Raw genomic sequence first — 11,903 nt, 5'->3', positions numbered from 1 at the left:
CCTACTGCTCTGCTCTGAGACCAGCCAGAGCTGCCCGTGCAGCTGCAGGGAGGGGCAGGAAGCTGAGCCAGGATGTGCAGCCAGTCAGGGGAAATCTTAGCAAATTTATTCAGGGACAGATATCCCTATTAAAAACTAAAAATTAAAGTGTTAGCCAATAAAGAACTCCTAAATCTGATACTCTATAAATTAAAGATATCTCATCAACTAGAAAATGTCAATGTTTCTGTTCTTGAAACAATGGGCATAGTCAGAAAAAAAAATACTGTGCTTTCAATACAGAGGTACATTGAAATTGAAATACAATATAGATAACACCATCTCTATATATTATTGTTTATGGAGATATCATTCACACACCATAAAATTCACCCTTTTAACATATAGAATTCAGTAGTTTCGGTACATTCAGAGGTTTGCGACCATCACCACAATCCAATTCCAGAACATTCTCATTATCCCAAAGAAACACCCCACCCATTAGCAGTGATTCCCTATTTTCTTCTTCCCTAAGCTCCACACGAACACTAATCTACTTTCTGTCTCTGTAGATTTATCCATTCTGGACATTTCATATAAATGAAATCATAAAATATGTGGCCATAAATTTTATTCTTTCAAATGGATTTAATCCTGAATAAAGGTATCATTTTGCTTTAGTTCATTGTCATAGAATTATTTTCTTTTAAAACATTGTAATTTATTCATGAATAAGAGATCTGTGGATCAATTGGGTAAAGTGAATCAATTCACATAAGTGAAAAGATATCTGGTTATTGATTGACATTCTTATTTCATTCCTTTCTTTTAAAACCAAATGATCTAAAGCATTCCACTGTGATGCTAGTGACTCAAAGACAGTTAGGTTGACTAATATTTCTCATTAAATTGATTCAATTGCCTAGTTGTTTAAGGATATGCATAGGTAACCAAAATCGGTAAAACAAATTACTACAAAATGTTAGGCTGCAAAGTATTCTGTTTAAAGACAGTGTTTATTCTCTCTCCACCAAGACTAATTACTGGAAGAAAGCAATTTATTCTGCCTGGTACAGTGGAGAAGTGATATATGAGAAGCATGAAAGTTTCACAGTGCAAAAGGAGGAAGTAGGTAACGATTATAGTGGAATAATCATTACAAAATGGTAGACTTACTCTACTTATACTGAGAAAGAAAAGTGTGGTCATAACAAGTGTGATTGGGGTGAGTATGTTATTAGTAAATGAAACCCCGTGCAGCAATAATCCCTACACACCAAGAAAGGAAGAAACACCTCCTTGTATGCAACTGACTTCTCATCAGAAGTGTCACTCACATTACCTGGGGAAGTTCAAACTCTTCAACCTAGAACCTACTGATGTAAACAGAGAAAAGGTCAAAGCAGTGCCTCCAGCATGTATACCTATGTAACAAACCTGCACATTGTACACATGTACCCAGAACTAAAAGTATAATAATAAAAAAAGAACTAAAAAAAGGCAGTGCCTCCAGAAGAAAAAAGAAAGAAAGAAAAATAAACAACAGAGACAAATGAGTCCTCACCTCTGCTCCAAATCTATTCCTTTCTCTCTATATTTTTTTTACTCTTTCTATCACCCAGGTAAACTTTCCCTATGGGCAGGACCGGCCAGGCAGATATGAGTCAATAGCTTAAGTAACTTATGAGATTCTATCAGCCACAAAAATATCATTCCCAGTAGTGTGCTACAATATTGCAATTTCAATAATTAGGTTTTATTGTTATTATTACATTAATGTAGTATCTCTGAGACAAATAAATTTTCCAAGACAGACATATATGGGATGTTTTGCTGCTAACTACCGGATGACAGCACTGAATACCTAGAAAACAAATAGCTCCAAGAGTGAAGATATTGAGATGAAGACTAATTTGCTTTGTTTTGCACATATATTTCAAGCTCCAGGGATTGTGCTATGCTCCGGGTATACATGTATGACTCAGACAAAATTATCACCTCTGAAGAACTCAATCTAGTGAATGGTGACAATTATCCTCAAAGATAGCATAAAATCTAAACTGGAGGTATATACAAAATATTATGAGGCAGAATGTAGTTCATAGAAATGCTGGCATCAGGCCTGAATCTTAAAGAATAAGGTAGCATTTAGCAAAGAGATAAGAAAGTGAAAGACTTTTTATATAGAAGAAATAATTTACAATGTAATGGAGAGAAAATGTCAAAGTAAAAAAAATACAAATTGCTTCGTATGATAGACGCATAATAAACTGTATAAAGTTAGGAATAGAGAGGGAGGCAACGGCTATTTCATTAAGGTCTTTTCTGTGCTAATAATAGGACTTTGTAGATTATCTAATAAGTGAAAGAGAGCCATTGAATTCAATTATAGAGAAAGGCATTAAAAATCATTAATTCTTACAGAAGTTATTTTAACAACAGTGAGGGATGCATGGAACCATTCCTACCCAAGTGTTGTCTCTGAATCCTCTTCCAGTCTGCAGGTCATTTGTTCTGGCCTCAGACACGTTAAGAACCTTGCTCTAGAATGTCAATCAACGACTTCATGAAGTGCACTTCATTTAGCTCAGCTGATTTCTAAAAAATACACTTTGTTGAAGAAGATAGTAATGCATTAATTTACAACCTGACTCAAGCTCCTCATCTCTTTTAGACCAGCATCTTGGGTAGCACTGCTTAGAGGTGAGACTATAGTTCCCTGATGAGCAATAAGCATCTTTGGATGGTAGAGAAGTGAGCTCCATAAAGGTGTCATCAGATGTGTCTTGTACTCCATAGCTACTCTCAGCTCTGACCGCATCACATGGTATATGCTCAAGAAATACTGGGCTGACTATTGACTGGGAACAAGCCGAGAATATTGTGACCCATTATGGTGCTGTTGAAATAGTCCAGTAAAGAATGACTTTCCACACCAAGATATTATCAGTAGAGATAGGGAGGAGGGAAAGATATGGAGACACTTACACCTTAAAATCAACTGACTCATGGCTAATCAGAATTTTTGGATGAGGCACATTAGAGAGAGGGAGTGATCTAGAGGGTTGCTTATGGAAATTTGGCCTGGGGGATAAACTGAGTGATGATGTCTAATTTCTAGTTAGGTTGTACGGGAGGTATATCATGGTTTAGGTATGTTCAGGTTGAATTGTTGAGTTCATTAAAAAATCACAAATATGTGTCTTTGGATTTTAAGAAATTGGAGTTAGAGATGCAAATCCAGAAGCCACTACCATGTGCAGAGAGAGCAGCCCTGAGGAATATTAGCATTAAGGGGAACGTGAGCTGAGAGGAGATTAGCTCACATACCAGAGTAGGAATAAATTTTTGCAGAATAAACAGTAAAATCAGAAAGAAATGATACAGATAAAAAAGGATGAAGAAATTTTCTAGAGGGAGAAAATGGTAAACTGTTACAAATGTTCCTTAACTCATACAATGCAGTAATGTTCTGATTCTGCCTAACAAATTATCACAAACTGAGAAGCTTAAAACAACATCTATTCATTCTCTCACAGTTTCCATGGGTCAGGAGTCTGGGTATCACCTATCTGGGCCTTCTGCCCAGGATCTCAGGATGCTGCAACCAAGGTGTTGGCTGGGCTGTGTTCTCATGTGGAGGCTTGACTAGGGAAGATTCACTTCCGAACTCATTCAGGTCATGGTATGCATTGGGTTGGTGCAAAAGGAATTGCGGTTTTTAAAAGTAACGGCAAAACCACAATTCCTTTTACACCAGCCTAATTGTTCCTTGTGTCTATATGACTGAATGGCCCCACTTTTTGGTAAGTGTTGGCTGGAGCCACTGTTAGTTAGGTCCTAGAGGAACCCCACAGTTTCTTGTTTCGTGGCCTTCCTCTCCATGTCTGCTTACTTTATCAAGCCAACAAAGAGAATCTCTCACTCCAGTCTGCCAAATGGAGTCTTACATATTCTAACATAACTGTGGGAGAGACATCCCATCACCATTGCCATATTCTGTTGGTTATAAGCAAGTCACAGTTTCTGCAGTTAAGGGAGTGGGTTACAGAAGAATGTGAATGTTGGGAGGTGGAAATCATTGAGGTTTCCCATAGAGTGTGCACACAACATTCAATATGGCATGAAAATGACTCAGGGATTGATTTGTCATTGAGATCACTGGACCCTAGAAGAATCTCAGTGAATTCCTGAGGCAGGAAACAAATTGCAATAAGCAGAAGATAGAATGAGAAGTGAGAAAATGGAGACAGAAATTATAAACAACTATCCTTGGATTCCTCTCTATGAAGGGAGAAAGAGAGGACATGCCTTGTAGCTGGTTAGTGCTCCCAAGGAACAGAATCTCCTTGTATTTGTCTCTGATTCCTAGCATCAGCTCAGGATCTGGCAAACAGCAGCTGTTTAGTAAGAATTTGTTGAATGACAGTAGCCAAAGTGGAGAAAATTTGGAGAATTGTTGTTATTGTTTAAGATTGGGCAAACTTAAAAAATGCCATTAAATGGAAGAGAAGAAGTCAATGGAGAGAAAGAGGTTAAAGATGTAGGAGAAAGGAGTTTTTCAGAAGTAACTCACACAAAACGAGAAGCAATGGCATCTATGGAAGTGCTGGGAGGCATCTGATGCTCTTGCTTGCCATTCACAAAGAGAAATTAGAAGACTTCTTGGACCCCATGATGTCCTCCGTCAATGTCCAGCAACAGTGTTCACCTTCTGCATCCTCCGGTTCCTACATGAACCAACGTGATCCTGGCTAAGGCCAACTACTCCAGGAACCCACTGGGAATTACTCCCTCTCCTCTCCTCAAAGATGGGACTAGAAATTCTTGCCTCCCTCTTTTGCTTCATCATTTCCTCTTCTATGGTATCATGCCCGTTCGCTTACACATCAACTCCCCCAAAGGGGCAAAAATAAAACAAACAAAAAACCACAAATCTGTACTTGTAGTTTTTCCATCTCCAACAACCAACCCAGTTTTCTGTTTCTTCTCACAACAAAACTCTAAGAGATATTTTCATTCATTATCTCCCAGTAATGCATTTATACATTTTGTTGGTTTGTTTACTAGCAAATGTTAATCAGGATGGTGAAATGTGAAAGAAAATCATCTTATATATTCCAGTTAACATTTTACAATGTAGGGAAAATGCAAGGATAAACACGATTGCTCTTCTTGAAAATGAACTTGATTTAGAAGACGATAGCCACTACCACCTGCTCTCTATTTAGCCAGGATTCTGAAGGGAACGATGTCTATTTGCAGTGGCATCTTGGTGAATTTGATCTGTTTGAGCAAGTGATCTCACTGTGAGAGCCAGGACATCTCTAGCTGCTGCAAGGACAGCTTCCCCGAGGGCTGAATAAGCAGACTGGAGAACTCCTGTGCTCCTTTCTTGGGTGTTGTGTCTTCTGTGTCAGACCCTTCAGAACAGAGATCGTGGACCAGGCACCTTTGTATTCAGAGAAGCAACACTGCTAAGCTGCAGGTTTTAAACTGTCTGTGTTCGTTTGCTTTCATAGCTTCCAAAGACCTGTTTGCCTTTCTCTTTGAATTTGATGTCACAACTTTATTTAAAATTTGATTTTAAACTAGACAACAAGTCTCTGTTTTCTCTGATGCTTTCTTGCCGTAAGCATTTTCATTACGGTTTAATTTGGACATGCTTAAATCCTCTTTCTTTATGTGGCCAAGATACGTTACTGAAATAGTACATTGTTTCTGTACTTCCCGGAATTTTCTCCTTCTCATTTCAAGCAAGTAGCCAGGATTTGTAATTCTTTTAGAAATCCCTCCTCCACCCCCAACTCCTCTGGGGTTTTTGGCTGGGATGAAAGCAGTCTGTCTCTCCCTGTCTTTTGTAAAAGCCTACACCCCCTGTAGAGATTACCCTGGGTTTTCTGGAGGGTCTGTGCAGGAGAAAAGTCCTGGGAGCCAGGAAAGGGATGGGGGTAAATCCTAGGACACCAAGAAGGGGAGGTGGGGGATTAGAGCAGGGCCCTGAGAGCAGGGTCTCTTGGCTGAGGGGCTCTGCTGCTTCTAGACCTCCTTGAATGAGCTATGGGACTTGAGGTGATTCTGGGAGCTCCTTCAGGCAGCAAGACTCCCATTGGAAATTCCAACTGTGCACCTGCAGAGGCAAGAATGCAGGTCCCCAGTGTCACCCAGCAGGCTAGCATGGCACGGGCACACGTGGGCCTGAAAGAAGTGTGGTCGCCGTGGTTTGGGCGGTCCAAGGAGAATGGCTTCCCACTGCCTGATATTCAGTACGGCCCTGGATGTTCATACCTTTCAGGGCCTGAAAATAAGCAAAGTTGAATTTTCTATTTTCTGCTCAGAGTCAAAACTTTTGGATACCCAAGTTTTATAAATATATATACCTTGCTGATCTGAGTTTGTGGATTGAGATTTATATCAGCTACATTTATAAAAACTATTGAATTTTGTTGATTTCTGCCCTCAACATTCTACTTATTTGTACTGTTTTATTCCTCACTTCCACTTTTTTAGGCTACAGGCATGTTTTCTCCAGAATTATCTTCCTAAATGGAGTGTAATTTTCAGTGCATCTTTCTCAGATAACAGAAATCGGAATGGGGGACAAGGAACACAGTGACTTCCATCATTTATCTTGATCTATTCAAAGATGTTAAAAATTGTTCAATGATAGCTGCAGTCATATTTTATTTTGATTATTTTAGTTGTTTTTTATTAGTGGCTTATTATTTATTACTGTTTAAAATAATTGTCATATACCCTTATTGGTGGGCATATAGTTGTTTCTTTTCTTTGTTTTTCACTTTTAAAAACATCATTGAAGACATTGTCTTGTGTGTGCACCTATGTGAATAGATAAATCTAGAAGTGGAATTCCTGGCTCAAAGATACATTTTTCATTTTAATTGCTTTTGCCAAATCAACCTCCGTAAAATGAGCTCAATGTATGCTCCTCAGGAAAACGAATTTAAAAGCACACAGGTGGTGTGGATCCAGGCCCTACTGCAACGGGAGGAGCAACCTGTACTTGCAGATGCAGTCAGGGGGAAATGTCTGGGATGAGTTTTTCCCAGGGCAAGTCAGGACCCTTCGTGAGTAGGTGCTCAGTTGTGGACATCTCCACACCCACCCTTCCTGAGCAACTGGCCCTCTGGGGTCCTGCTCCCTGTAGAGTCCTTCATTCATCTGCCCTCCTGCCAACATCAGAGGCTCTGCCCCTCCTCCCTCCTGGCTCCTGGGCAGCTGGCAGGATCGATGCTGGCTTATACTTCTGGATTTCTGTTCTTGCCGAATTTTGATAATTAAGAACTTTCCTTATTTACTTATCTTTTCAGTCATGCATTTAAGAAGATGTTTGAAATTATTATCCAGCACATTTTCAGCATTTTTTAGTGGAAAGGTTGTTTACCTTTTCTGATTGGCCATATGTTAGATATAGAAATCTCACCTGTCTGTTTACTTTGTCTCATGTACTTTCTATAGACAGGTTGTAAATTTTTATAGAGTCAAACTTGATCTCTCATTATATAGCAGAGGTTACAAACTGGTGGCATTTCTGTTGGACAATGTGATATTTTGTAAGATTCTAGGATGAGGCAGGTGTTATGGGGCCTTGTTTTTATAGTGTTGGTGTGTTTGTCACTGCTGAATTTACCTAAAATTATAGAATAATATGCATAGTGTGACCTCACAAAGCTCCTAAACATGAAAACACGTGTGTGTGTGTGTGTGTGTGTGTGTGTGTGTGTGTGTAACTCTAGTTGGAAGAGAAACAGAAGAAATTCTAAAAAATTACTTTACTAAAATTGCATCAGTATATTCTTGGCCAGATCTTCTTTCTGACTCTAATGCATGTCACTTTATATTTACAATATTTTTTTACAAGTATAAACAAATGACTACCAATTAGGCAAATTTCATCCCAGATTTTCTGATTACTGAAAACTCAACTCCTTAGCCATTTGAATGTGTATTTAATATCTTTGAATTATTATAATTCTTCTTCTTTGATGCTGTACACACAAATGTGGTATGCATGCATCCTAAACATAAAGCTCAACTGATCTAAACTTTTCTATGACTAAGAAAACGTGACATTAATGTAAAATTTAGATATGAGAAATCAGTAATACAATGAGGTTACTGCTCATCACAGTGCTAAGCAATTTAACAACAGGATATTTTTAAAGTCAGTTCTACCATTGTTCTATTGAACTGACCAAATTGGTAGTAACCAACATTTTAAACCATGACCTTTTATTATATGACTGAAGCTGTATGAATACCTTTCAACTAGAAGTTGGGTTTTCACATTGTTAAATTGGCTAGCTGGTCTCCTGAGAAGAGGCAGTGAAAAAAATCTGGTGATGTCATAAAAATCAAAAATGTTATGGACAAAATTTCTCATTATCTGGAAAGATGAGAAATATAAAACTAAAGAAAAACAAGGTCTCTTAAAGAAAGGACAATTCACTTTCTATATGATAACCTTTTCCTTCAAAAATACCTTACTGCTGACAATCTACAATTCAATACTTAGCTCAGTAAATTGAATGGCATTACAAAGTTGGAAATTATGTCTCTGCAGAAAAAAATCCCAAGTTGTAGAATTGCAGATCTGAATATTATTTAAGAAATCTATTTTTCTGTCTGTCTATCTATCATGTATCTATCATCTATTTATCTATCATCTATCTATTATCTATCTGTCGTCTATCATGTTTGTCTATTTATCTATTTATCAATGATCAGTTTGTCTACCTATCACCCGTTTGTCTGCTTGTCTATTTATCTGTCATCTGTTTGTCTATTTTATCTATGTATCTATGTATCTATCTATCTATCTATTCACCTATCTATCTACATCTATCATCTGTTTGTATGTATCATCTGTTTGTCTATCTTTCATCTGTCTATCTATGTATCATCATCTATCTATGAAGAGAGTTTTCATCTTTAGTTACTGTGTATACAATTGTTTGTTTCTCCAAAACAATCTTTATTTCTATAACTATGATATCTTCCAAGCTTGGTTACTTTTTCTCCCTGGTATCATCTGCCTTTACTGTTTATTAGATATTCCAAATACAGTGTCAAAAATCTCACCTCACATTGCCCTTTTTCACTCTAACTTTCTGCTGGAGTGTTCTGTGCTCCCGCTACTTTCTAAAGTATCTGTGTCTACTCCCCATCTGTTTTTGTTTTATGTTCCTACATTATTACTCTAAGATGTTTTACTCGTGCTTGAATTCAATTATCGATTCCATTTTTTGGAACTATCATTTATTTTCATAGAGAACACCATAACAAAAAGATAAGTAGAAATAAATTTTCTGATTCCTTGTAATCCAAATTTTTTATTTATTTTTACTTCACCGAAAGTCTTGCTGCAACAAAATTCTAAGTTAAAAATTGTATGACTTAAAATTCTATAGACATAAATCCTCTGACTTGCAGTTCTTCTTGTGATTTCTGGAGGGTCTGATGCCTTTCTGATTCTTATCCTTTTGTGGTGATTATTATTCTGGAAATTTTAGGAACTTCTCTTTATATTTGTTGTTCTCAATTATTACAATGGCATACTTACCACGCATCTGTTCTCAATCATTTCGCTGGAGATTTGTTAAGCTTATTTCATCTATAGACCCCTGGCCATTGACTCTAGGAAAATAATTTTGTTAGATTTTTTGACCATTTCCCCATCCACTTTCTCCATTCTTTCTTTCAATAATTTTTATTAGTTAGAAATAGTTGAATTTCAATTTCTTGGAATAATCTTGCATATCTCTTGTTTCCACTCATATTTTTCATTCCCATTGATTCTTGTTCCACTTTCTAGGCTATTTCTTTGATTTTTAAATTCCTACCAGTGATTAAATATTCTAAAATTTCTTAAATCATGGTTTTAATTGTCTGAGTGTATTTTTTGCTTTCATTTTTTTAAGTATCTTGTTCCTATTTTATGGATGAACTGTTTTCTTGAATATCTCAGTAGACACCGTTTTACCCTTTGAGTTTCATCTATCTTTGGATGCTTCTGTGATCAGTTGTTCTAGTTGTTAATCTTTGTATCTTTTACATCACAAGGATGTCACTAAATATAAGGAGGTCTCAATGGTTCAGTTATGTTTGAGATGGAAAAAATAAAAGCTGCCTGTAAGCTCTGTTTGTATGGTCAAGTCTTGTCAACTAGCAGCCTTATTTTAGGGTAATGATTCAGGAAGTAGGAAAGTAACTTGGAGGGCTGTCATGTGAGCATCTTGGTCCAGATCAAAGTTCTAGAGGAAAGACCCATGCAATTTTTTGCCTGGTGGGTGGGCACTTTGGTGCCGGGAGATATGGGAGGATTGTGTTAGCTCATCTAAAAACAACTTCCCAACATTCACTCCTCCCGTCTTCTGCTTCAAGCCTCTCTCCAGCACTCTTTTGTAAATGCTGGTTTTCAGGCCCAGTGTTCTCTTGGGGTTCTGCGGCTGTCTCCCTCGTCTGCCATGACCACCTCCTACATACTCTACACCTGCATTGGTCCATGTGTGTTCTGCAGGTCAAGCATCTGCCTCATGGAGGAGGCTGATAGAAATCCACATTCTCTGACCCTATCCTGGACCTAACTGAATTCTGATCTCTGGGGGTGGTGCCTCCAAGTGAGATTTTAAAAGGTGATTTTCGTGTGTTTGTTTCTAAAGAATGAACAATTCTGAGAGCTGCTGCTCTGGACTGCAGCTTCCTCATCTCCACTTCACTAGGTACATCTCCTCTAACCACATCCAGACTTCCAGAAATTGCTGCTTACTCTTGTCAGACATGCTTCTCACTCATTCTAGGATTGTGCTTTCATGCCAGAAGTCATAAACATATGTGACAAAGCAAGTAAAGCTAATGAGTGACATGGACTGGGTGACCAGCCTAGGAATTGAAAGGGACTGAAGTGCGCTAGAGAGCACAGGCTTCCACCTGAAGGCGTGGCTGCCACACAGCCCACTAAGCCCCAGCCACAGCATCCACGTGAGAATGTGGGCCACTACTGCCAGGACCTCCAGGGTTTGCAATGTGGGGGAGTGCGTGACATTAGGAGATGATCTTCTCATTTAAAAAATCATGTCTATCATCAGTACGGTTTGTGGGCCACACCTGTAACACCTTATCTGTGTTATTTTCCTTCTTCTATCATTTTAGTGGGGGCTTGGTAAGAGAAGAAAATGAAAACCTATTGTGAGTCTGTACCATTTCAGAAGAATCTTTCTGTTCCTAATTTTTTTTTGTAATTTGTTTTTGAGATATGATTTACATACACAAAATGCATCGTTTTAAAGTGTACAGTTCTGTTGGCTTTAGTACATTCATAGTTGTGCAAAAATTACCACGATCTAAGTTTAGAACATTGCCATCACACCAAAAAGGAACTCTATCCCCTTAACAGTCACTCCCCATTCGTCTCCCCTCTAGCCCCCAGGAATCACCAATCCCATTCTTATCTCTATGAATTTACCTATTCTGAATATTTTATATCCAGATTCATGTAAATGGAATCGTGCAATAAGTAACTGATTTTTTGTATGGCTTCTTTCGCTTAGTATAATTTTTTTCAAAGTTCATCCATGTTATAGCAGGTATCAGCACTTCTGTTTCTTTTTATGGTTGAAAAATATTGCCTTGTATGTATATACCATATTTTATTTATTCATTCATTTATTGATGAACATTTGGGTTTATGAATACTGCTATTATGAATATTGCTGCTATGAACATTTGTGTATACGTTTTGGGTAAACAAAGTTTTTCGATTTTCTTGGGTATATACCTAGAAGTAGAATTTCTGGGTCATATAGTAACTTATTGTTTAACTTTTCGAGAAACTACCAAACTGTTTACCAAAGTGGCTGAATTCTACATTCCCACCAGCAATATATGAGGGTTTCCATTTTTGC

The 11,903-nt window shown here is 37.8% G+C and overlaps 3 annotated features.

The window, feature by feature from the left end:
• Positions 642-811: an enhancer, noted in NCBI's record as "experimental_32244 CRE fragment used in MPRA reporter constructs". NCBI's record gives its function as "activates a minimal promoter by MPRAs in K562 erythroleukemia cells, with activity observed for both the introgressed and non-introgressed 13:109060521 or rs9559326 variant alleles {active_cell/tissue: K562}" and the evidence as "EXISTENCE:reporter gene assay evidence [ECO:0000049][PMID:34662402]".
• Position 726: a transcriptional cis regulatory region, noted in NCBI's record as "Neanderthal adaptively introgressed variant 13:109060521 (GRCh37/hg19 assembly coordinates) or rs9559326 in the experimental_32244 CRE". NCBI's record gives its function as "modulates activity of the experimental_32244 enhancer by MPRAs in K562 erythroleukemia cells {active_cell/tissue: K562}" and the evidence as "EXISTENCE:reporter gene assay evidence [ECO:0000049][PMID:34662402]".
• Positions 918-1,087: an enhancer, noted in NCBI's record as "experimental_32236 CRE fragment used in MPRA reporter constructs". NCBI's record gives its function as "activates a minimal promoter by MPRAs in K562 erythroleukemia cells, with activity observed for both the introgressed and non-introgressed 13:109060245 variant alleles {active_cell/tissue: K562}" and the evidence as "EXISTENCE:reporter gene assay evidence [ECO:0000049][PMID:34662402]".

This window comes from Homo sapiens, chromosome 13 (genome assembly GCF_000001405.40).
Source record: "Homo sapiens chromosome 13, GRCh38.p14 Primary Assembly".
Lineage (NCBI taxonomy): Eukaryota > Metazoa > Chordata > Mammalia > Primates > Hominidae > Homo > Homo sapiens.
Note: the sequence above shows the minus strand (reverse complement) of the source record. Positions and strands in the feature narration are given on the sequence as shown.